The sequence below is a fragment of the Homo sapiens genome, chromosome 20, assembly GCF_000001405.40.
Source record: "Homo sapiens chromosome 20, GRCh38.p14 Primary Assembly".
Lineage (NCBI taxonomy): Eukaryota > Metazoa > Chordata > Mammalia > Primates > Hominidae > Homo > Homo sapiens.
Genome location: NC_000020.11, coordinates 18,772,389 through 18,798,956, shown reverse-complemented (window position 1 = coordinate 18,798,956; position 26,568 = coordinate 18,772,389). Strand labels below are relative to the sequence as shown.

Genomic DNA, 26,568 nt, shown 5'->3' with positions numbered 1-26,568 from the left:
AAGCTGTAGTGTAGTTAAGAGCTTCACCCTGGCCTTGGTTTAAACCCCAGCAGTGTGACTTTGGACAGGCTGCCTATCCACTTGGTGCCTCTAATGCTCCACCTACAAAGAGAGGATCATATTACCTGTGTCACAGGTTGTTGCTCTAAAGATAAAATAAGATAATCCATAGAAAGTGTCCAACACAGATAAATGCTCAGTAAGGTTATCCCTTCTCATAAAATCGGACACAAAAGGGAACGAGATGCTGGAGGAGGTGGCAGGGGATAGGAAGGCAGACCTCGAAGGAGTGTGGAGGACTCCTGTTCCTGTCTAGAAAGGACAATGAGCAAAGATGTTCAATGATTTTGAGGTGAAGAGAAATATCACCAGCTGATGATCCTGATCTCTCCAGACCTTTCTCTTAACATGTGCCTGCAGGAGTCTTTCAGTCCAACCCAGATGGCTTCACACTCCCCTTTTGAACACTCCTTGAGTTTCCTGTCTCTAGGTTTTTTGCATCCTGTCCTCCATCTTTACCCAAACTGTGCTCTTCCTTCAAACCTCAGTTAAATGCCATCAGCCTTTATCAAGCCCTTCCACCACCATGCAGCAGAATCCACAAGAACATAGAGCTGGATACACTTCAGACTACGAGGTTCAGACACAAGCTAAACTGGGAACAAATGCAGCCCAAGTCAAGCATGCGGCAGCCTCGGAAAAACATTTTACCAAGACTTTTGAGGTCTCCAGGAACACCCAACAAACAGCATCTTTCTTCCCCACTTGAATTCCAAAGAAATCAAGACAAAAAGACCAAAAAAAAAATGGCAGATGGAAACCAAAATTTTGCCTTTATCCCTGACAGAAGTATTTTTGAAAGAAAAGACTCAACATGAGGGCCCAATGGGCCTGCAACTAAACCCCACAATACAAAGAAGAGTGCCCGCCCACCCATCAGTCACCCTCCTTGGGTGGCCTCTGAACATAAGGCTGGTAGTGAGGGGCCCACCCAGGGAAAGTTCCAGACATGGAGGAGCTTAGTTTATACTCCCTAGATTAATCATCCAGAAACGTCACCCCATCTGAGTGAGTGTGGAGACAAACTGGAGGAAAATCCTTTGAGGAAACCAGAAAGCAGAGACAGGCTGTCCCCTCTAGTAAATCCTAGCTAAAGTGGGGTGGAAGTGGGAGGATAAACACAAGGGAACCTTGTACAGTGGTACCTGGGCATTTCCTGATTTTGCCCAAAATTCCTTTCCTGTGCCTTGGTTTCTTCTCCTTTTCTCCCCTCAGGTTTTGCTGGGGTTTTCACAACTCAGGCTGGGGGTTTCCTCAGAGGCCATCACTCCCTCCCACAGCCTCACTCTGCCCTGGCAGAATGGATACTCCCTCTGTAAAATAAAAACTCCACTTTAATGGCTAGCTCTGTGACCTGTAAACTAAGAGAACATTCAATGATGTAGGTGTCAAAACAGGCTAGCTTGAGTTTTATATAATAAACTGGGGAACAATAATATTTTTCCTGGGAGGTCCAGAGTGAGGATCTGTCATAAGCAACTGGTCAGCAGAAACTAGAAGTTTAGGCAGAAAAGATTCTGTAAATAAAAAATGTGAACTAAGCATTGAGACCAACACTGCCGGATAGAATTTTCTGAGGTAACAAAAGTGTTCTGTATCTGTGCTGGCCAAAGCAGTGGCCACTAGCTGTATGTGGCTACTGAGCATTTAACACATGGCTGGTGCAAATGATAAATGGAATTCTTAATTTTATTTAATTATAATTAACTTAAATTTAGTCACATATGATTTCCCATCAGAACTGTAGGAAACAACCCCAACATGGTCATAAACTACTGTAAGGAAGTTACACAGGAATCTGGTGGATGTAGTCTTTAATCACTTAATTACACCAAACATAGAAAAACCCATTCCTAAAACCCCCAATAACTATTACACATGTGAAACAGAAACCAGCTCCCACTGGTGGGATGTGATCCATCTGAGGGCACTCCCATTTTGGGGCAAGGCAAAAGGCATAAAGACACACATATATACTTAAAATGGTACTGTTGCACACATCTTTGAATAAGACATACACATGCATAAATGGGTGATTACTGAGTAACTTCTGAGTTAAACTGTGTAAGGTACAACTGCCTATAAAGCCAACATATTTAACTCTTACAGCCCTTCCCAAAATGTCCCTAATGCTTTAAAGATGTCTTGGTTATGAATTGCCACAATAATGCTACACAACAAACCTCCCCGGAACTTAGTGGCTTAAAGCAATAAGCATTTATTTAGCTCATGAGTTAATGTGTCAGCAATTTAGGCTGGGTTCAGCTGGGTGATTCTTCTGGTCTCCTCTGGGCCCACTTAAATCTGGCAGTTATCTGACTTATCATCAGCTGTGGCAATAGTGGTGCTTGGACCATGTGACACTCATTCTCCCCAGGCTAACCAAGGCACACTGTCATCATGAAAGCAGAGATATGAGCAAACAATCCCAACTCCCCAGTGCTCTTCAAACCTTTGCTTGCACCTATTGGCCAAAGAACATCACATGGGAAATCCTAGTGTCATAGTGAGAGGCCACTACCAGGCTACATGGCAAAGGGTAGGTGTAAAGAGTCGGGACCAATAATGCAATTAATTGACCACACCCACAGGACAGTGTCAAGCCTTGGAAACCTTTCTTTCTTTCAAAAAAAAAAAAAAAAATCACCGAACTGTACCAAACTCATGTGCGAATATATTTTTTACATCCCAGTAACTCATTTGAGACTTTTAAACACATAGAACAAAGATCATGCCCTCCCTTCCTTCCCAGATATCATCACTGCAGGAATCTGGCCCATATAAAAGCATTCCTATTTTAGGACAAAACTAAACAAAGGCCCAAAGACATATGAATATCTAAAATTGAAAAAGTTTATTTATCTTTGAATATATCACAAGTATACTCAACTGGCAATATTTTTTTTAATTAGGTAAAATGTACAAGGTGTATCTTCCCACAAATTAATGAAACTGATTTTGAACAAACAAAATTGACACACAGATACATTTTCTAAGTGATGCACTTTTCCAATGATGTCAGCATTACTCAAAACATTTTTTAGAATATAAACATATAATTGATTTTATAATTGCTGTCAGAAACAAAGGCACATTCTTTTACTGTCCCAGAACATTCAAGATGCTTTCAATTTATTACAAGTACCAAAAGCAGCCACAACTCAAATGGCTCAAGCAGTTAAAGGAATTATTCTTTCCCATAAAAGCGGTCCTGAGGTAGGGCTACAGTGGCTGAACTTCTGCTATGATAAGTATTCAGGGGTTTCCCAGGACACAGCATCAATGCTAAAACTGGCAAAATCCCAATGGACTGATCCCTTCAATGGATGACAGGACCCTCTATGGCTGAAAGACTCTAAAGTTCTTAGTTCTTAGCTGTGACAGGACAGAGAACCGACATGTCCCACCTGCAGCCACACCCATCCCCTTATTATTACTAGATCTTATCAAAAGCTGACTTGAAGAGGAAAAAAGGCCAAAAGACTTCTTTTCTTCACCTAACCGCCGATGCCCTCCTTTTGGTTTTATGGTTCCAACCTGACAGCTACTCTGGGCTACAAAGAGCCCCTTCTTGACAGATGACTGCCAGCTGCAGGCTAGATCAGACTGGTCTCTGGAGATTGCACAGATCGTGAACTTGTGCCCTATGTTTCACCTTTTTGCATTTACAGCCTAATTATAATACATTTAAATGTTAAATCTTCACCCCAGAGTGAACACAGGTCATCCGCTTTTGGATATTCTTCATATGTAAGCCCAGTGCGTGTCTCTAACGAGTTTCCTCCATGAATTTTCATAGGCTTCTCCTGTATGCTACAGAATACGTATATCCTACCTCTCCACCTAGCATAAATACCTACCTTTTCTCCTTCAAAGTATGCTTTATGGCCTCAGGTAGAGGCCTGCTTCCTGCCTGCAAGTTGTAACCTCTTAGAAATAGTTATATTTTGTTTATTTTGATTCTTTTCAGTCGACACATGCAAACAGGAACGAGTTGGCTACTTGAGGGTTGGTTCCTTGTGCATCTCAGTGAGTCTTGAAAAACCCCAGATCCGTCCTTCCTTCCTGCCGCATGTCATCCTAAGGCCAGTGTCTGTCAGGGAGGCAAGGCAGCAGCAGTACTTTTGGGAAACATCCAGAATAACATTAAAAAGCCCCTTTTTCCCCACACGTGTCTTTTATCCAGAGGGTCTGTTTTCCACAAGTTCTTCAGTGATTTCTCCCCAGTCTCATTGGCTGGGATTGGCTTTCACGCCTCTTAACAGGATTGACCATGGTTCATCAAGGGTCAACTTGAAAGCTGAACCCTGCCAACTTTCCCTGAATCTCCTGACTATGGTGGAGGAGTGTGGATCCTGGAACTAAACTGAGGTGATAGGGAGGAAAAGAGAGAAATCAACAGTAAACGCTGCACATCCTCTGTCTGGTAAATGTGCATCACTGATTGTATCCAATCTAGATTCAACCAGAGAGACGGAAGCATTAAGAATGACATAGAATATGGAATTTGCTATAGGGATTTGAGCTTCTACATTTGCGGGAAGGAGCGAGTTGAACACTTAGGAACAGCTGTTGCTGCCGTGTCTGGTGGGGGGCCTGAGAGTGGCAGGACAAGCAGCCTGCCCCAGAAGTGGAAGAAACTGAAAGTGGAGTCCTGAGAGCTGAATCTGCCGCAGGCCCGCGGGCCGCCCGGGAATTAGGAAAGTTAGAGGGGATCCACGCCCACAAGGTAAGCCAGCAGATGGGGACAATTCCCCGGGCTGCGACAGTCCCTAATGTCGGGCACCTACCTTTCAAGCCTACGAGACGACAACACTGCGTCACTTCCGCCTCACGAAGCCCGCATCAGGTCACGTGGCGTGTGCTAACCCCGGAAACCTACAGGCAAGGAATTCTGGGAAACGTAGTTCCCGCTTAGCTAGGTTGACATGGTACAAAGCCACATTACCACGCTAAGTGTGGCTTTGATTTTTAGAAACCGCCTCATGCTAAGTCTAGGGAATACAGTGGTTGAATGGGGTGAGCGCTGACCTTTAGCTATTCTGGAGGAACATGTCACTTTCACTTATTTTCTTTCATGTTTTCCCACCCAGTGCTATGGACTCTGATCGCCCAACCAGAGCAAACCCAGAAGGACAACTCTCCAAGCCTTTCAATCACTCCCACTAACCCGTATTGTGGACACACTATTGTGAGGCCTACTAAGGATGTACTGCTGATGACCTTTTGAAGGTAAGTCAAATGCAGTTAATCCTAAGAGGTTGGTTAGCCCCCTGCATCTTACTGAACACAGTAAATCAAAAGCGCTGTGCCCTTGAGACAAATATGATAAATTCCCTCTGCAGTTTTGAAATGTTTATCAATGCTAAACAAGGTAGGGGGATGTGGGGAGCATGAAAACAGAAAGACAAGGTCTGACAGACACATGGGAGAGATGTCTGTTTCAGAGGCTTAGTTCAAGTGGTTACTGTATTTAGGCTATTTAATTTAAAGGTGGTTACTGTATTTACATACACATCAGAGAAGTCCAAAATTTTAAAGTAAAGATCAGTTTGCAAAGATCTTGTCAAATTATTCGTTTTAAAATGAGGACCCTTATAACAACACAGGTACTTGAAAATATTTTGCTAATGAAAGAAGCTGGACACAAAAGATTACACCATGTACAATTTCATTTATATGAAGTTCTAAAACAGGCAAAACTAATCTATGGTGGGAAAAAAATCAGAATAGAGTTCACCTTGGGAGTTGGGGGTAGACTTAACTGGAAAGGGGCCTAAGGACACCTTCAGGGATAATGAGTGTATGCATTTGTCAAAATTCACCATAGGGGTGAAGAGCACTGATGTCTGCCACTTATTTGAAAAGCATCAAAAAATAAGATGGATTGATGGATGTATACAAGCGTAGGTAGACATATACATAAAACAAATACAGCAGAATATTAATTGCAGAATCTATGTGGCGAGTATATAGTTCAGCCCAGGTCTGAGTCATAGACAGATGGATGTCATAGATAGATAGTCATAGATAGATACCGAAATACTGATTGGGGAAGAGATAGTAAAGAAGTCATGGGAAAAGGATACAAAAAAAGAGAGAAAAGTGGCCGGGCACAGTGGCTCATGCCTGTAATCCCAGCACTTTGGAAGGCCAAGGTGGGCGGATCAGGAGGTCAGGAGAACGAGACCATCCTGGCTAACACGGTGAAACCCCGTCTCTACTAAAAAAAAAGAAAAAATACAAAAAATTAGCTGGGCACGGTGGCGGGCACCTGTGGTCCCAGCTACTTGGGAGGCTGAGGCAGGAGAATGGCGTGAACCTGGGAGGCGGAGCTTGCAGTGAGCTGAGATCAGGCCACTGCACTCCAGCCTGGGCGACAGAGCGAGACTCCGTCTCAAAAAAAAAAAGAGAGAGAAAAGTTACTGTCAGTTAATAGGAAGATATCAACAGACAGTCCAGACATTCAGAATATTTAATGTGATTCACTCTAACCTTTAAATTATATGATATACAATCAACCTGATGAGCTCCATTTCTCTCATAGTTACTAGGTGCTTGCTATGTGACTACCCTAAGCCAAGCACTTTTGCAAGCATTGTCCACAGCACGCTAAGAATCCTCCTCTACTTATTCTACTCTTAATAGCCCTATATTTGTCCATTATAACATAATGTGCTGCATAACAGACCACCACAAAACTCAGTGGTGATCTGAGTGGCTCACAATAGTAAACAATTATTTCTTGATTACATGTTTTCAGAGTGGCTAGTGGTTGGCCCATGTAGGCTGAGCTCAGCTGGTCCATCCTTCTTGGACCCACAGACTCCCTGGGGCATGTTCTTCTCATGATGATGACTGCAACACAAGAGGGCAAGACATCCTACACAAGCACATTTCAAGATTTTGCTCACATCATCTCTGCTAAAATTCCTTTATCCAAAGCAAGGAACACAACTGGTTCAAATAAGCACAGGCCTCCAAATATCCAGATCTAAAAATGGAGTGTTCACCTCAAGCTCCTTATTTATCACTGCAAGAGATTCTGGGGCTGGCAGCTAGTGACATGAGCTGGAATCCTCTTCCTGAAATTGCTGTCTTCTTGGATGGGCTCTCCACATCTTCCACCACGAAGTAAAAACAATTCTTGTGGGTGTAAGTAGACCAATTCAAGTGGACAATTTTGTTTTGCCTCTTTCAGCTTCCCCCAAGGTAGAATCCCAAGGGGACAATTACAAACATCTGGCCAAGAGAAGGAATACAGGCCACTTATTTTTCTGCTTTAGGAGAAGTCAATTAGAGTTTCCATTTCCTCAGTTAAATGTCACCTTTTTACAACATCCTGGAGGGAGAGTTGGCAGCCCTGTCATTAGGGGGAAAAATTCTTTCAGGGAAAGGCTTATTGTCTAAAAAGATACAGAAGGGTCCAGAGATGAAAGGACCTTCTCATGCTGTCTGAGTTTCCCAGAGTTCTCGGTTTCTATTTTGAGCTGAACATTTGGCTTCCCTGGTATCCTCAAGTGAGCTTTTTCAGCTCAGCCTCCCTGCATCACTTTTCTACCATTTGCAAAAAAAGGATAATAAGACTTGCTGCTGGGTAATGCATATAAAATGCTCTAAGGAGCTTGGAGGGAAGGTAGGCTTCTCAAGGGGAAAGCTGTCAGCGTGTTTTATCCTGATCTCCAGATATTTTCAGTGTCTGGTACCCCTCATTAGAGCATCTGGTCCTTTCTCAGAGAAGTTAGATGAAAGCCAAAATAAATGGAGCAGAGAGGATCCCTTCTCCTGCCTCTGCTGCAAAGGAGATATGTCAAGTTGAGTGATGAACGATTACTCTTCTTCACTTGCTAACACTTTGTACCCTATTTTCAAATTAAGGAGCACATTGTTGGTGCACCCAAAAGGTTAAACACTCCCACTTCTTTGCTGTAGTCACTAATTGGTGCTTTATCACAATTTCTGTGGAGGGAACATCTTGTCTGCAGAATCCTTCCTCCACGGAGCTGGATGAGATTTTGAGAGCATCTCAAGTTTCTAAAGTTAGATCATGAATCACTCTTCTGCTTGTAAGGAGGTATTGCACCTAAAAAGTCCCCGTCTGTTATTAATAATTGTCTGCAACTTATTTTGAACTGTATCAAAAAATAAGATGGATTGATGCATTTTTTAAAATTCTTTTTAAAAATTATTCGGAAAATTCTTCCTTTTTCTATTATGGGGGACTTATTCTCTCTCTCTCTCTCTCTCTCTCTCTCTCTCTCTCTCTCTCTCGGTATTTTACTTATCTATAGAACAAGAACTTCTTCCCTTTTCAAAATATTGGGAGACAAGGAGGTGGGCATCTGGAATTCTCATAATGCTGCCAGTGGGAGTACAACACGGTTCCACTTTGGAAAACGGTTTTTAGTATCTAAAATTGCTAAGCATCTTTTGTGCATGTATCTCTATAAGTGGAACTTCTGGGTTCTAAAGGATAGTTCTAGGGATATGCCTAACAGAAATACCTGCATATTTTCACAAAAGACACATATCAGAATGTTTTAATCAGTCAAATCTAGAAACTAGACATGGTTTCTAGATGTATTCACAGAGCATTCCACTCTACTGTTGATGCAGTTTACCCGTCAACAGTAGAATGGGTAAATTGCAATGTATTCACAGAGTGGAATACTATACAGCAACGAGAATTAACCGGTCACATCTACACACAACATGGGTGAACCTCACAATCATCATTTTGAGCAAAAGAAGTCAGACACAAAAAGAACCCATACAGCTTCTAGGGGGCTGGTAATGCCTCAGTTGTTATTCCGGGTGCTGGTTACACAAGTGTCTGCCATTTGCGAAAATGTGCTGAGTTGTCTGCTCATGTTGAGTGCTCTCCTCTGTGTATTTTCCTTCAACAAGAAGTTAACACAATATGCATATAGAAAAATTGCCCCGAAAGTCAAAATAGAAAGTATTTGGAAAAAACTTCCACTTAATTTTTTCATCCTTTCACTCCTCACTCCTCCCCTGGAAAGGGCAGGGCTGTAGCTGACTGGTGAAGAGGTGGGAGAAGGAGCCATACTCACACACAGCCTGATGGCCTCTTTTCTCCCTGTTCCTGAGCCCTTCCCTGATCCCTCTGTCTTGACTGCCATAATCTGGAAGGTGAGAAGCAACAACTTTCTTTTTTTCTGGCCAGGCCAGTGGACCTGCTCTGCAGACCCAGGCTCCTCTCCCATGGAGCATCCCAAGTCTGTCCTTATGGGAAGAAGCAGGAGCCCTGTCTGGCTGTACCCCAAGCTGCTTTCTCTGGACCAATGCTGTCAGCGATAGAGGTATCATTTTGATGTTTAATTCCCATTGCTTGTATCTGTTTCTCAACTGATTCTAAAGATGGAAGGCAAAGAAGTACAATTAATTGTAAGCCCTTAAACCTCAAAAGCTTCTTGTTTAGCAGTTAAGAAATGCAGGCAAGAGTAAATGTATTGCTTTTATTTTATAGAACATTAAGACCAAAGATTATGAGCTCCTACAGCTGGGGTTTTAGGGGATGATGACTGCCTCCTAGGAACAAGACCAACTGAATAATTAGAAAAGCAGAATTAATTAATCTCCTTTCTATAATATTTCCCTGTATTAACTAAAGAAGCTGTTTTTATTTGTCTATTTTAATTTGTATTTGTATAAATTTACAGGGTACAAGTGTAATTTTGTTACATGCATAGACTGCATAGTGGTGAAGTCAGGGTTGTCAGTGTACCCATCACTCAAATAACATACATTGTACCCACCAAGTAATCTCTAATGTTATGGGTGCCCCCTTAGATGGGGATTTAGAGTGACTGGATGTAATGTCAGAGGTTATCTCTGTGCTGAGTTAGACATCACAGTCGCCAATTGCTATAGAAGGGGAAAATAGAGCAAATCCTTCCATGAAGAAATAGAATCCACCTCTTCTCTATCTCTTCAATTTAGGCCTAGATGTGTGACTTGCATTTTTTTTCATGTAGCAAACAAGCCAAACAGCAGCTTGAAAAATGCTTTCTACTTGGACATACCCTCTTGCTACAGGGAACCCTTCCACCATCATGTGAAGAAGCCTGGTCTAGCCTGCTGGAGGATGAGAGATCACATGGAATGAGGCCACAATCGTTCCAGCCAAAGCCCCAGTAATAGAATTAAGATCATCCAAGACCATGGCATCCCGCCTGAGAAGTTCAGATGAGAAGGGCCACCTGAACAACCAACAGAATCTTAAAAAGTAAAAAATGAGTGTTGCCACTATGCATCTATTAGAATGGCAGAAATCGAAGACACTGACAACAACAAATGCTGGTGAGGATGTGGAGCAACAGGAACTCTCACTCACTGAAGATGGAAATGCAAAATAGTGCAGCTACTTTGGAAAACAGCTACTTTGGCTGTTTCTTACAACACTAAATATGCTATTATTATATGATCCAGAAGTTTTGCTCCTTAGCACTTACCCAAAAAAGTTGAAAACTTATGTACACACAAAAACCTGCACATGGATATTCACAGCAGTTTTTGATATGGTTTGGCTCTGTGTCCCCACAGAAATCTCATCTTGTATTTGTATAAATTTATGGGGTACAAGAGTAATTTTGTTAGCATGCATAGACATGCATAGACTGCATAGCTCCCATAATTCCCACATGTTGTGGGAGGGACCAGGTGGGAGGTGATTGAATCATAGGGGCAGGTCTTTCCTGTCTTGTTCTTGTGATAGTGAGTGGGTCTCACAAGATCTGATGGTTTTAAATAACAGGAATTTATCTGCACAAGCTCTTTTATTTTGCCTGCTGCCATCCACATAAGATGTGACTTGCTCCTCCTTGCCTTCTGCCATGATTGTGAGGCCTCCCCAGCCATGTGGAACTGTAAATCCAATTAAATCTCTTTCTTTTGTAAATTGCCCAGTCTTGGATATGTCTTTATCAGCAGAGTAAATGTGGACTAATACAGTAAATTGGTACCAGTAGAGTGGGATGTTGCTGAAAATATCATCAAAAATGTGGAAGTAACTTTGGAACTGGGTAACAGGCAGAGGATGGAACAGTTTGGAGGGCTCAGAAGAAGACAGAAAAATGTGGGAAAGTTTGGAACTTCCTAGAGACCTGTTGAATGGCTTTGACAAAAATGCTGATGGTGATATGAATGAACAATAAGGTGAATGAACAATAAGGACCAGGCTGAGGTGGTCTCAGAGGGAGATGAGGAACTTGTTGGGAAATGGAGAAAAGATGACTCTTGTTATGCTTTAGAAAAGAGACTGGCAGCATTTTGCCCCTGCCCTAGAGACTTGTGGAACTTTAAACTTGAGAGAGATGATTTAGGGTATCTGGCGGAGGAAATTTCTAAGCAGTAATGCATTCGTGAGGTGACTTGGGTGCTGTTAAAGGCACTCAGTTTCAAAAGGGAAACAGAACATAAAAGTTTGGGAAATTTGCAGTCTGGCAATGCAATAGAAAATAAAATCCCATTTTCTGAAGAGAAATTCAAGCCAGCTGCAGAAATTTACCTAATAACGAGGAGCCAAATGTTAATCCCCAAGACAATGGAGAAAATGTCTCCAGGGCATGTCAGAGGTCTTCACAGCAGCCTCTTCCATCAAAGGCCCAGAGACCTAGGGGGAAAAAATGGTTTCCAAAGGCCCAGGGTTCCCATTCTGTGTGCAGCCTAGGGACTTGGTGCCCTACCTCTCAGCCGCTCCAGCCATGGCTTCAGAGGGTGCAAGCCCCAAGCCTTGGCAGCTTCCACATGGTGTTGAACCTGGGAGTGCACAGAAGTCAAGGATTGAGGTTTGGGAACCTCCACCTAGGTTTCAGAGGAGGTATGGAAATGCCTGGATGTCCAGTCAGGAGTCTGCTGCAGAGTGGGGCACCCATGGGAACCCCTGCTAGGCCAGTGTGGAAGGGAAATGTGGGGCCCCCACACAGAGTCCCCACTGGGGCACTGCCTATTGGAACTGTGAGAAGAAGGCCACCATCCTCCAGATTCCAGAATGGTAGATCCACCAACAACTTGCACCGTGCACCTGGAAAAGCTGCAGACACTCAACGCCAGCCCATGAAAGCAACCACGAGGGAGGCTGTACCCTGTGGTACAGGAGCAAAGCTACCCAAAACCATGGGAACCCACCTCATACATCAGCATGGCCTAGATGTGAGAGATGGAGTCAAAGGAGATCATTTTGGAACTTTAAGATTTGACTGCCTTGCTGGATTTCGGACTTGCATGGGGCCTGTAACCCCTTTGTTTTGGCCAATTTCTCCCATTTGGAATGACTGTATTTACCCAATGGCTGTACCCCCACTGTATCTAGGAAATAACTAACTTGCTTTTGATTTTACAGACTCACAGGTGAAAGGGACTTGCCTTGTCTCACAGAAGATGTTGGACTGTGGACTTTTGAGTTAATGATGAAATGAGTTGAGACTTTGGGGGACTGTTGGGAAGGCATGACTGGTTTTGAAATGTGAAGATATGAGACTGGGAGGGGCCAGGGGTGGAATGATATGGTTTGGCTCTGTGTCCCTACCCAAATCTCATCTTGTAGCTCCCATAATTCTCACATGTGGGAGGGACCTGGTAGGAAATGACTGAATCATGGGGATGGGTCTTTCCTATGCTGTTCTCATGATAGTGAATGGGTCTCATGAGATCTGATGATTTTAAAAAACGGGAGTTTCTCTGTACAAGCTCTTTTGTTTTGCCTGCCACCATTCACGTAAGATGTGACTTGCTCCTCCTGCCTTCCACCATGATTGTGAACCCTCTCCAGCCATGTGGAACTGTAAGTCCAATTAAACCTTTCTTTTGTAAATTGCCCAGTCTTGGGTATGTCTTTATCAGCAACATGAAAATGGGCTAATACAGCTTTATTCATAATTGCCAAAACTGGAAGCAACCAAGATGTCCTTCAGTATGTGGATAAATCATGGTACATCCAGATAATGGAATATTCAATGCTTAAAAAAAAGTGAGCTATCGAGCCATAGAAGAAACTTAGCTGCATATTACTAAGTGAAATAAGCCAGTCTGAAAAGGCTACATACTGTAGGATACCAAATATATGATATTCTAGAAAAGGCAAAATTGGGGGACAGTAAAATGATCAGTGGTAATCAGTGGTTATCAGGGGTTAGGAGGAGGGAAGGATAAATAGGCAGAGCAGAGGATTTTTAGGGCAGTGAACCAATCTACATGATACTGTAATGGTGAACACAAGTCATCGTACATTTGCCCCAACCACATAGAATATAGGACACCAAGAGTGAACGCTATGGTAAACTGTAGATTTTGGTTGATCTTGGTGTATCAATGTAGGTTTATCAATCGTAACAAATGTATCACTCTGGTGTTGGAATGTTAGTCAGGGAAACTGCAGATGTGTGGGGGCAGAGGATGTGTAAGAGCTCTTTTTACTTTCTGCACTATTTTTCCATGAACTTAAAACTTCTCTAAAAAGTACAGTCCATTTAAAAAAATGTATGTCATTCTAAGCCACTGACTTTTGGAGTGGTTCATTACATAGCAGAAGCTAACTGATACACTGGGTCAAACCTTGGGTGGGGAGGAGAATCAAAGGGAAATTGGGTCTCTGTCACTTCAGAATTCAGATACACAAATGAGAAAACATCCAATAAAATAACCATCATGGAATCCAGAAATAAGTTATATCCACACCTATAGTTTGGCATATTAGTTAAAACCAGACAACAAGCCAAGTCTAATATTTTACAAGGACACACTTCACCAGCCCCATTGCATGCTGTTTTAATTCCTTCGTGATTGTTAGGGAAGGGAATTACTTCTACTGAGGCCTGGCAACAAAATTCCTATTTCTAGAAGCTTCAAAATTGGATTACAATAGAGTGAATGCAATTCCTACGTTTACTTTTAAAGAGGCAGAGGGGATGAGATGTTTCAGCCTGAGCAGTTCAGTAGGTGCTTGTCCTCCTCTCACCACCTGATCTAGTACAGTCCCATGCCATCTGCACTAAAGAGGGGAGAAAAGGCAATACTGAAATGGCAGATTATCCAGAATCATTTATTTGGTTCTTTGGAATGCGTGAGCTCACCACTGCTCTGCTGCCTCCCCTTCACCCACCTCGCTCTCGGTCTTCTTCTCACACACCAGTGAGCACAAATTGGGCCCAGTCTCTTATTAAAAGACTCTGACACTGATAACAAGGATTTCTCTGGATGTCAAGTATCATGTGCTGAGAACATTGCCTTGGAAGGTAAGACAAGAAAAATTCCCTGTAGATGAAAAACTGAAGTTGAGGATCCTGAGGTCAGATTCCAGCCCCCAGCAAGTTGGGCCCTGATGGGCATGCAGGCTGAAATCCTTATCTAGCTCTGCAGCAGACTCTGGGAGTCAGAGATGAGGGGGAACAGAGCACAGCTTATTAACAGAGGGAGCTGGCAACGGCTTCAAATCAGCACAATATCCTGAATTGTTAAGAATTCCATCAAGGCCGTTAATTAGCTACTAACCATAAGCCTCTTGTCTTTGAATATGCTTCCTAATCCAACATGAAAATGACCTTAAATTACAGACTGATCCTGAAGTTGAACTGCTATACCTGATTCACTTTATTCATAATCTCTTTCCCATTCGTAGGACAACCCAGGGAGATAAAGTGATTTACCCTGGACCAGTGGTGGGACAGCTGTGCCCACCATGTGCTCATGCCGCTGCAGAGAGCACAGGAACAATTAGAGAAGCTGTGTCTATACATTTTCAAACATTTCTCTGGTTTCAATGAAACAATATTTCAAGGGGTAGACTTCCTCAAATTCTCCATTTGTGACTATATGGGTCAACAAATGGGAGGTATTAGGCTGAAATAAGTGTGCTTTTCTTTAATAGTAAAAACAGTGACAGAGGAATAGAAAGGTGTGTTAATATTTTGCCCCACAACCCAAAATCACACTATGATATTGGAACTTTTTTTTAATTACATTGTTTCTTTTACCAACATCAATAACATGCTGGCAAACAGATGCTGGCAAGAACACAAAGCAGCCTGAACTCTCCTATACTGCTGGTGGGAGTGCAAAATGGCACAGGGCATTTTTTTCCACAGAGAGCCTATTGTTTAACATTTACAGCTCGGCAGCGGGGGTGTGTGTGATGTGTATATCAGGCAGAGTTCTTAGTTGCAGACAACAGACTCTAGTTTAAGCAGATCGACAAAGAGGCATTTAGAGAATTTGAGAAGGTGGCTGCTCAGACGGGAAAGGGTTCCTTCAAGTGAGCCTGGGTCTTGCATAAACTGAGGGCTGAGAGTGAGTGTTGCATCACCATTCACCTCTCCCTGTGGGAACTGGAGACCTGCAAATGTTGTGTGATCATCACTGATGCCCCAGGACACTGAGTCTTTACCAGAAACATGATTACGGGAACATCTGGGGCTGTCTATCCTGTCCTGACTGTTGCCTCCATTGATGAATCTAAACCTGTTATCTCCAAGATGGGCAGACCCAGGAGCACACCCTTCTGGCTCACACTGAGTGTGAAACAAATAATTGTTGGTGTTAAGAAAATGGATTCACTGAGCCACCTTAACGCCAGAAGAGATATGAGGAATTTATTAAGGAAGTCAGCACCTACATTAAGAAATTGCCTACAGCCCAGACACAGAAGCATTTGGGCCAATTATCAGTGGCAATGGTGACAGAAGGCTGCACCCAGGTGCTCACATGCCTTGGCTCAAGGAATGGAAAGTCACCTGTAAAAATGGCCATGCCTGTGGAACCATACTGCTGGAAACTCTGGATTGCATTCTACCATCAACTTGTCCAACTAACAAGCCCTTTTGTCTGCCCTTCAAGGATGTCCACAATATTGGTGGTATCAATACTGCCCCTGTGGGCCAAATGGAGACTGGTGCTCTCAAGCCTAGCGTGGATACTGCACCTTTGCTCAAGTCAACATCACAACTGAAGTCTGCTGAAATGCACTATTAAGCTTTGAGTGAAGCTCTTCCTGGGGACACAGTGGGCTTCAATGTCAACAACATGTCTGTCAAATATGCTTATTGTGGCAACCTGGTTGGTGACAGCACAAATGACCCATCAATGGAAGCAGCTGGCTTCACTGCTCAGGTGATTACCCTGAACCATCAAGGCCAAATCAATACTGGCTGTGCCACTGTGCTGGATTGTCACATGGCTCTTATTGCTTGCAAGTTTGCTGAGCTGATGGAGAAGATTGGTCACCATTCTGGTGAGAAGGTGGAAGATGAACCCAAATTCTTCAAATCGGGTGATGCCGCCATTGTTGATATGGTTCTGTGTGTAGAGAGCTTCTCTGACCGTTTTCTTCTGGGTCCCTTTGCTGTTGATGATGTGATACAGACAGTTGCTGTGGACGTCATTAAAGCAGTGGACAAGAAGCCTGCAGGAGCTGGCAAGGCCACCAAGTCTGCCCAGAAATCTCAGAAGGCCAAATGAATATTAGCCCTAATACATGCCACCCGAGTCTTAATCAGTGGTGGAAAAAGTCTCAGAACTGTTTGTTTCAAGTGGACATTTAAGTTAATAGTAAAAGACTGGTTAACAATAAATGCATCATAAAACATCCAGAAGGAAAGGAGAATGTTTTGTGGACCATTTGTTTTTTTGTGTGTGTGACAGTTTTTTGAAGTTATTAGTTTTTAAAATCGGTACTTATTAATCAGAATCTATTTGACCAAACATTGGTCACAGGATTTTAAGACCCATGAAAACAATGTTTAATGAGAAAAAAAAGGTCCAGTGTGACAAAATTAACCTAAAATTACATTTGCATGTAGGAGGGAAAAATGTTTTTTAATGATTGTTTTCATTCATCGGGTGAAAGCAGAGGCATTGAGTTAGATTTAGGTGATCGCTCCTAAATCACTATCAGACCCCAGAGATCCAAGTGAGCACCCCCAGGAACAGGCTGGACATCAGGAGACAGTGGGCATTGTTGCCTGCCTAGCACCTCCTCCACTTTTTGCCACAGTGCCTATCTTCTCCTTTGGGGTGCTCCCTTCTCCCCACCCCACATGGTCCTATCAATCAAGTTTCCTGCCCACTTACCCACCGAAGCCCTGGAAACATGTCCCAAGTCAGGCCAGTGCTCCCCAAGAAATCTGAATCTTGAGCCAAATGACAAAAAGACCAAAAAAAAAAATGTCAGCAAAAATAAAGTCGTTCCCATGGTAGTCCCCTCAAATGGCTGTCCATCAATCCCTGCTTCAGAGACTGCTCCCCACCCCCAGAGCTGCCCTGTTCCTGATGCTTTTGAGGTCTCATTGCAAAACTCCTCCACCAAGCCTGTGAGCTTTCTGACGCCCTTCTCATGGAAGGCTGTTCTGTTTAAGTTGGCTACAGTCTATTTCTGTTGTTTGCCACCAAAGATCACTAGCTGACATGCCAGTGCTGTAGTTGAGAGAGGCTTGCTTTTTTCCTATTGGGGCATGTTTTGGTTAATTCTTGCTCACCAGATCATGGGGTACGGTAGATCATTATAATAATGGCCCCTGATGAGTCCATGCCCATTTACAATATTGCATTGCTCTCCCTCCCATCAAGACTTCACCCTTGGAGTTTATTTCTGTACCTCCTTGCATATGGGCTGGCTTTGTCTATTATTTTAACCAATAAAATATCATGGAAGTGATGTGTGTGGTTTCATGAGTCTAGGCCTTAAGAGACCTTGTAGCTTCCATCTTCAACTTCTTGGAAACCTGAGACTGCCATGCTGTGAGGAAGCCCATGCTGGCCTCCTGGATGATTAGCGGCCATTTAGAGAACTGAGGCATCCCGCCAACAGCCAGATGTGTGAGTGAGGGCATCTTGGACTCTTCAGCCCAGCTTAATCATAAGATGACAACAGTCATGTGTGTATACCCAGATGAGACCAGCAGAAAAACTACCAAGATTGCCAACCCACAGAAATGTGAGAAATAATTAATGGTTGTATTTTAAGCCACTAAGTTAGACAATCAATTGATGAGGAAAGAAACGGAGCACAAGACACAGCAGCTATGAAACACTGGTAGGAGTGGCAGCAGTGGCAGCAGCATCATGTGCAGGGCCGGGGTGTGTATATGCGTGTGCAGAGGGCAAACTGGAGTGGAAATGGACTCCAGCTGCAAGAAATAGTCAATATGTTAATGATGGAGGATGTCCAGGTTCTTGGCTTCTTGAACAAAGAATTGGACACAACTCACAAACAAAGCAAGGAAGGAATGAAGGGTTTTATTGAAAATGAAAGTACACTCCACAGTGTGGGAGCAGGCCTGAGCGTAGGAGCTCAAAGGCCCTGTTACAGAGTTTTCGTGAGTTTAACTACCCTCTACTTGGGGCACACCCTATGTAAATGAAGAGGATGAAGTAAAGTTACAAAGTCATATACGGCGTATGCCTTTTAGTTATTTCTGTGGTTTACAATAACTTAACTATAATTGTAATTGGTAACATATACTTAGACATTAGAATTTTAGAAATCCTATAAAATTTCAGAATATATATTAGTATTATTCACAAAAATGTAACCTAAAGAAGATTGAGCATCATTTTGGCAATCCCATGTACCTGAACATGTCAAATAATCCTGTTTACCTCTCTTTTCTGGACATTTCGGGGGCCTTCTGAAGTATTTGAAAAGCCAGGTGCCAGGGAAGACAATTTTGAAAATGAAGTTTGATTTTGGGAATTACAGATTACCACAAGTTATTTATTTTGCCAAAATCACGACTCAGAAATTTTAAAGAAGCAAAAACCTTATAACCCTTTTGAATTTAGTCAACATGTTCACACAGAGAACCTCTTCTGTAAGATTAATTTTCACAATTTTTCCACCACTTTTTTGAACCTTCAGCTTTCCTTATCTAACTTAAAACAATCCTTTAACCCTCAGCAAAAGTTTACATTTCCATGCCTTCATATACCCTTTTACTAAAAAAAAAGAAACACACATTTTACTGTTCTTACACACCTTACAGACAATAAATTAAAGAACATGAAACTTCCTGAAGTTGACAATCATGCAATAGTTAAGTAAAAGGAGGTCCCTAATCTTAGGAAATACACATTAAGGTATTTAGGGGTAAGTAACCATGAGATGTGTAAATTACTCTCAAGTATGAAGGTAATTTATCCTTGAATGGGTTCAGGAAAAAATGTATATATGCAAAGGGGGTGGAAAGAAATAATAAATGTAGGAAAATGTTAGCAATAGGCAAATCTGAATAAAGTACACAGGATATATTTTGTACTATTCTTGAAACTTTTCTGCAAGTTTGAAATTGTTTTCAAATAAAAAGCTTTAAAGTAATCTTTTAAGTCATTTATCATAGCAGTTTGTAATCCTACATTCCTGGATATCCAGAGATTTTTCTCCATATTTTTACTCTCTTCCATATTGTTGACCCCAAAATGCCAAAATACAGTCTGTTATTCTTGTTAATAAGGACTGATTTTCAGAGTGGTGAGTTTGCTAAAATGGGTGATCATCATCTTGGGGAAAGAGGGGCATCTGAAGCAGCCTGTGTAAGGAAATTGACCCCACTCTAGGTGGAGCCAAATGGGTGCCGGAGTTGGGGGGATCAATGATTATGCACAGGGTCGTCACTCTCCAATCAAAGCACAGCCACTGCTTGGCTCCCTCTGGGATCCACCTCTGGGCAGGGAGGGCTTCCTCTTTCCATGTCCTCATACAGAAGCAGCCCTCTTCAGGAGGTAGTAAGAAATGTGAGGAGAACATTATTTGCCGTCAGTTATCCACGAGGTATTTCTGTTTCCTTGTTGAGCAGCAACACTTGCATCAATGTGTGCCAGAAAGAAAACCAAAAACTGAATAGAGTTGCAAGGCCAGGGAGTCCCAGCAGGCCCCTCTCATGCTCTCTCACTCCTGATCTGCCCTCAGCCCACAGCTAGTGAAACACATGTCTGGAGTCAAGGGTTTGGAGAGAACACAGCCATAGCGAGCACAGTCGTCCACTTCCAGCCCCCTACTTCCCTCCACTGTGACAGCATCAGTGAAGCAGCTGGTATCTCGCTGTTCCTGTTCACATAAATTATTGTCTTGAAGCCTCACAGCAACCCAATGAGGGAGGCATAGCCGCCGTACAAATATGAGAGATGCAGAGGTCAAATGGCTTGAAAGGGTCAGGCCTCTAATAACTTGCACAGGACGGAAGCCAGACCTGGTTCTGGTAATGCTGAGCTCTGGGGCATAAAGTTTCCCACTTCACATACCGAGCAACCCCCACCAACAATTTCCTTGGGTTCTACCCCATTTATTATACCACAGAGAAGGCAAAGCCTATCCCTGTGCTTGGCCCAGAAAAGGAAGACAAGACCCCTAGACCAAATCCCATTTTCTCTGGAATACCACCAAAAATGGTGCAGGGTCTGGAGTGCTGGCTTTGCCCTCAGATACTGCTCCAATGTAACTGAATAACCTGTTAATGGACAATAAGACTACGATGAAAAAGACTTGCAAGGTCTTGAATGGGGCATTATGTCTGGGTACTAGGCCTTCCTTGAGATTCTCAGAACACTCTGCTTCTCCAGGTTTGTTCTCTAGGTACACCTTGATATAAGCTGTCTGGTGTTGCCTGGACATCTCCTACATGTCCCAGACCACCAACCAAGCTTCCCTGGAAACTCTCCTCAGCTATCCCTTCCACCAAAGGCTTGGGAATTCTTGCTGGATCATCTCAGGAGACCTTGTTGCCACCTGTATGTAAGCACTCTCCACATTGTTGTGGCTGTGTGTCTGTCTGTCCATCCATTTTCTCAGCAGACTGTAAATCCTTTCGTCAGGGCTCAGTGACATTTGTCCGTATGTGTCCAGAAACTAGCACAGTCGCCAATATAGACTGTTGAATAAATGAATGAATGAACAAACAAATTAGTGAGTCCCAGGATTCTTAGTTTTGAGCCATGGCCCAGTCACTTTCTTTGATCTTGAGCAAGTCAGTTGCCTTCTAGGTGGCTTCATCTGTGCAGTGGTGAAGAATCTTCTCTGGCACACATCTGTTCCAGAAAAAAAAGTAACATCTGCTAGAGCATTTTCAAATGCAAGATACCGTTCCCATGTGCATTATCCTTATGGCTTTAAGGAAGAAGGGCATGATCGAAGAGCTTTATAAGGTGGAAGGCACAATGTAAAATCTAGTACACCTGTGGTTCTCAGCCTCAGCTGATCATCAGAGCCACCTACGAAATTTCACTGGCTTTGGATGCAGCCTGGGCACCAGGATTTTCAAAACTTCCCCAGGTGGCTGTAATATGTAGCTTAGATTGAGACCACTGGTAGACTCAGACATGTGATGCTTGCCACTCTCCTATTCGGAATAGACTAAAGCAGTGGCTCTCAAAATTTAGGCACATTACTATTAGCTGGAGGCTTGTTAACACCTAGATTTCTGGAAAGAGGGGGCAAAGCAAGATGGCCAAATAGAAGTCTCCAGCAATCGTTCCCCCACCTGTTTGAAATGCTTGTTCCCCAGTAGCATAAAGAAATAGCACTTGAACATAAATTTAAGTTACTCATCAAGGCCATTTTTACTTTCTGCAGAAAGGGTACACTCACCAGCAGTTTTGCCACGAGAGTACACCGAACAAAGGAGATAGCGTTATTTATAATCTGATGCATCCACCCTACTGCTGTGTCTGGTTTTCATTGGCTGGAACGGGACCTCACAGTCTGTATTTGTCCCGATTGGCTAGCAACTTAGAACTTTTTAAAAGAGGCAAAGGCAGAGGAGAACAAAGGAAGGAGGAAGTAACTTGTGGAATGCTGAGAAAGGTAAAAACACCTTCAAATAAGGAAGAGGAACAGGCTATGAGCTAATGCTTGCTTGGATCAGAATAAGCATGCCAGCATATTTAGGCTAAATTGTGGGAGCTAAGAACATAAAGTGCATCGATTTATTTATCACAGCTAGCAGATATTTAAGAATGTTAGCACAGGTCTTTGAATAAATTTTGCTTCTAAGAGAAGTTACTATTTATTCCTAATTAAATGGGGAGGAAAGTCTTTGAAGAGGACCCTCTACTTTACTTTTTATAATTCCCCCTCTTTTTATTTCATAATTCCTCTTCAAACTTGTTTAATATGTTTTAACTAAATTGCTTTGTTTGACCTTCTAAGAGAAGTAATTTTTCGGCTAGCAGATATTTAAAAATGTTAGCACAGGTCTTTGAATAAATTTTGCTTCTAAGAGAAGTCACTATTTATTCCTAGTTAAATGGGGAGGAAAGTCTTGGAAGAGGACCCTCTACTTTACTTTTTATAATTCCCCCTCTTTTTATTTCATAATTCCTCTTCAAACTTGTTTAATATGTTTTAACTTAATTGCTTTGTTTGACCTTCTAAGAGAAGTAATTTTTCGGCTAGCAGATATTTAAAAATGTTAGCACAGGTCTTTGAATAAATTTTGCTTCTAAGATAAGTCACTATTTATTACTAGTTAAATGGGGAGGAAAGTCTTGGAAGAGGAACCTCTACTTTACTTTTTACACACCCAACAGAGGAACACCAAATTGAACAACTATCTACACAAAAAGTCATCTTCATAAAAACCAAAAATCAGGTAAATGATCACAATACCTGGTTTAAACATCATATTAAGGAAAGAGGCACTGAAGAGGGTAGGAAAGACAGTCTTGAGTTGCCTTTATCACCCGTCCTCTATCCCCTGGCAGTAGCCACATGGTGCGGAGAGAGAATCTGTGCACTTAGAGGAGGGAGAGTGCAGTGATTATGGCACTTTGCATTGAAACTCAGCGCTGCCCTATCACAGTGCAAAGCAACACTGGGCAGCAATCAGCTGACATTTATGGAGACAGCTTTTAGACCAGCCCTAGCCAGAGGAGAATCGCCCATCCCAGCGGTTGGAACCTGAGTTCCAGCAAGCCTCGCTACTGTGGACTAAATTGCTCCGGGTTCTAAATAAACTTGAAAGGCAGTCTGAGCCACAAGGACTGCAATTCCTGGGCAAGTCTTGATGCTGTGCTAGGCTTGGAGTCAGTGGACTTGGTGTGCACATGACTTAGGGAGGCAACAGCTGAGGGAGTATTTGCATGTCCTCCCTCAACCCCAGGCAGAGAAGCTAACTCCAGGAGAGATTCCTTCTCTCTGCTTGAGGAGAGGAGAGGGGAGAGTGAGGAGGACTTTGTCTTGCAACGTGGACACCAGCTCAGCCACAGTAGATAAGGCAATAGGCATTCCAGGCCCTAGCTCCCAGATGACATTTCTAGACACAGCCCAGACCTTAAACACCTTCAAGGGAAGGACCCAGTCTTGACAAGATTTATGACCTGCTGACTAAAGAGCCCTTGAACCCTGAATAATTGGCAGTGGTAGCCAGGCAGTACTCGCCACAGGCCTTGGGTGAAACTCAGAGCCATACTGGCTTCAGGTGTAAATCAGCATATTGCCAACTGTGGTGGCTATGAGGAAAGCCTATTTCAGCTTGAGAAAAGGAGGCAAGAGCAAACGGGAGTTTTTCTTGCAGCTCCACCACAGTGGAGTAGAGAACCAAGTAGGCTCCTGGGCCTGCTGATTCTAGGCCTTTGCCCTTAGGCAGAATTTCTGGACCTGCTCTGGGCCAGAGGGGGGCCCACTGCCCTGAAAGGAGAGTCTCAGGACTGACAGCATTCACCACACACTGACTGGAGAGCCCTTGGGTCTTGAGTGACCATCAGCAATAGCCAGACACTATTTACCATGGGCCTGTGGTAATGGTGGCCATAAGAAAAGACTCCTCTGCTTGAGGAAAGAAAAGAGAAAGGTGGGAAGGACTTTGTCTTGGGCTTTGGTGCCAGCTCAGCCACAGTAGAATAGAGCACCAGGTAGATTCCTAAGGTCCCCAACTCTAGGCCCCAGCTCCCAGACAGCATGTCTGCTGGTCCCAGGCTTGGGGAACTCATTGCTCTGAAGTGAGGGACACAAGCCTGGCTGGATTTGCCACCTGCTGATTGTGGAGTCCCTGGGGCCCTAAGTGAACATTGGTAGTAACCAGGCAGTGGTCACAGCAGGCCTTGGGCAAGACCCAGTGCTGTGCTGGCTTTGGGTCTGACCCAGTGTAGTCCCTGTTGTGGTGGTCACGGCGGTGCTTGTGTCATCCCACCCCCAGCTCCAGGCAGCTCAGCACTGGGAGAGAGACTCCATTTGTTTAGGGGAAAGCAAAAAAAAAAAAGAACAAAAGTCTCTGCCTGATAATCCAAAGAATTCTCCTGGATCTTACCCAAGACAACCAAGGCAGTACTTCTATAAGTCTGCAAGAGCCACAGCACTACTGAGTTTGGGGTGCCGCTAAAGCAGATATGGTTGCAGTGACCAAAGACTTAGATCACAACACCCAAGCCCCTTTGAATACTTGGAAAGCCTTCTCAAGAAGAAAGGGTAAAAGCAAGCCCAGACCACAAAAACTATGATCAATACCTAACTCTTTAATGCCTAGCCACCAACAAACATCCACAAGCATCAAGACCATCCAGGAAAACATGACCTCACCAAATGAAAATAAATAAGGCACGAACAATTAATCCTGGAGATACAGAGATATGTGACCTTTCAGAGAATTCAAACAGCTGTTCTGAGGAAGCTCAATGAAATCCAAGATAACACAGACAAGGAATTCAGAATCCCATCAGATAAATTGAACAAAGAGATTGAAATAATTAAAAAGAATTAAGCAGAAATTCTGGGGCTGAAAAATGCAATTGACATACTGAAGAATGCATCAAAGCCACTTTCTCTCTCTCTCTCTCTCTCTCTCTCTCTCTCCCTCCCTCCCTTCCTCTCTCTTTCTCTCTTTTTTGAGACAGGGTCTTGCTCTGTCACCCAGGCTCTCTCTCTCTTTTGAGACAGGGTCTCTCTCTGTCACCCATGATTGTAGTGGTGCAATCATGGCTCACTACAGCGTTGACCTCCTGGGCTCAAGTCATCCTCCCCACTCAGCCTCCTGAGTAGCTGAGACTACAGGTGTGCACCACAGTGGGCTAATTTTTTGTTGTTGTTTGTTTTGTAGAGACAGGGTTTTGCCTTGTTGCCCAGGCTGGTTTCAAACTCCTTGGCTCAAGCAATCCACTTGCTCCACCCTCCCAAAGTGCTAGGATTACAGGCAGGAGCTGCCACACCCAGCCCAGAGTCTATAAACAGCAGAATTGATCAAGCGGAAGAATTAGTGAGCCTGATGACAGACTATTTGAAGATACACAGAGGAGACAAACAGAAAGAATTTTTTTAAAATGAAGCCTGCCTACAAGATCTGGAAAATAGCCTCAAAAGGGCAAATCTAAGAGTTATTGACCTTAGAAAGGAAGTAGAGAGAGAAATTTGGATAGAATGTTTCTTCAAATGAATAATAATAGAGAATTTTCCAAACCTAGAGAAAGATGCTAGTATTCAAGTACAAGAAGGTTATAGAACACCAAGCCGATTTAACCCAAAAAAGACTACCCAAAGACATTTAATAATCAGACTTCCAAAGGTCAAGGGTAAAGAAAGAATCCTAAAAGCAGCAAGAGAAATAAACAAATAATATACAGAAAAGCTCCAATACGTCTGGCAGCAGACTTCTCAGTGGAAACCTTACAGGCCAGGAGAGTGGCATGACATATTTAAAGGGCTGAAATAAAAACTTTCATTCTAGAATAGTATACCCAGTTAAGGTATCCTTCAAACATAGAGAAAAAATAAAGGCTCCCCAGACCAAAAAAAGAAAAGAAAAGAAAAAGCTGAGGGATTTCATCAACACCAGACATGTCCTACAAGAAATGCTAAAGGGAGTCTTCCAATCTGAAAGAAAAAAACATTAATGGCCAATAAGAACTCATTTAAAGGTAAAAGAAAAGAAAACAAACCAATAAAAAAACTCCCTGGTAATACTAAGTACACAGAAACACAGAATATTATAATATTGTAATTGTGGTATATAAACTACTCATATCTTGAGTAGAAAGGCTAAAACTGGTCCTATCAAAAATAACAACTTTTCAAGACATAAACAGTATAATAAGATATAAATAGAAACAACAAAAAGTTAAAAAGTGAGGGGATGAAGTTAAAGTGTAGAGATTTTATTAGTTTTTCCCTTTGCTTGTTTGCTTTATGCAATCAGCATTAAGTTGTCATCAGTTTAAAATAATGTGTTATAAGATATTATTCGTAAGCCTCATGGTAACCTCAAATAAAAAAAAATACAACAGATACACAAAAAAATAAAAATCAAGAAATTAAAACATCACCTGAGAAAATCACCTTGACTAAAAGGACGACTGGAAAGAAGGAAAGAAGAAAGAGAAGACCACAAAACAATCATAAAACAAATAGCAAAATAGAAGAAGTAAGTCCTTACTTATCAATAATAACATTGAATGTAAATGAACTAAATTATCCAATAAAAATACATAGAGTAGCTGAATGGATTAAAAAACAAGATCCAACTATCTGTTGCCTACAAGAAACACACTTCAGCTATAGACACACATAGACTAAAA

The 26,568-nt window shown here is 42.7% G+C and overlaps 2 long non-coding RNA genes and 1 pseudogene across 3 annotated transcripts, besides 1 other annotated feature; 2 read left to right on the top strand and 1 right to left on the bottom strand.

The window, feature by feature from the left end:
- Window positions 1-2,891: 2,891 nt before the first annotated feature.
- Window positions 2,892-4,908, bottom strand: LCDR (lysosome cell death regulator). Its single transcript, NR_026885.1, has one exon. It is a non-coding gene; the product is annotated as a lysosome cell death regulator (long non-coding RNA).
- LINC00652 (long intergenic non-protein coding RNA 652) lies at window positions 4,373-10,986 on the top strand. Of its 2 annotated transcripts, NR_026883.1 has the most exons (4): window positions 4,373-4,789; window positions 5,154-5,292; window positions 9,248-9,383; window positions 10,120-10,986. It is a non-coding gene; the product is annotated as a long intergenic non-protein coding RNA 652 (long non-coding RNA). The 2 variants fall into 2 exon arrangements; NR_026884.1 differs by lacking the exon at window positions 4,373-4,789 and having other exon boundaries at window positions 4,975-5,292; window positions 10,059-10,986.
- Window positions 4,693-5,232: an enhancer, noted in NCBI's record as "H3K27ac-H3K4me1 hESC enhancer chr20:18774369-18774908 (GRCh37/hg19 assembly coordinates)". NCBI's record gives its function as "activates a minimal SCP1, AML or CMV promoter by ChIP-STARR-seq in naive H9 embryonic stem cells {active_cell/tissue: H9 hESC(naive)}" and the evidence as "EXISTENCE:reporter gene assay evidence [ECO:0000049][PMID:30033119]".
- Window positions 15,267-16,730, top strand: EEF1A1P34 (eukaryotic translation elongation factor 1 alpha 1 pseudogene 34; annotated as a pseudogene).
- Window positions 16,731-26,568: the final 9,838 nt, after the last annotated feature.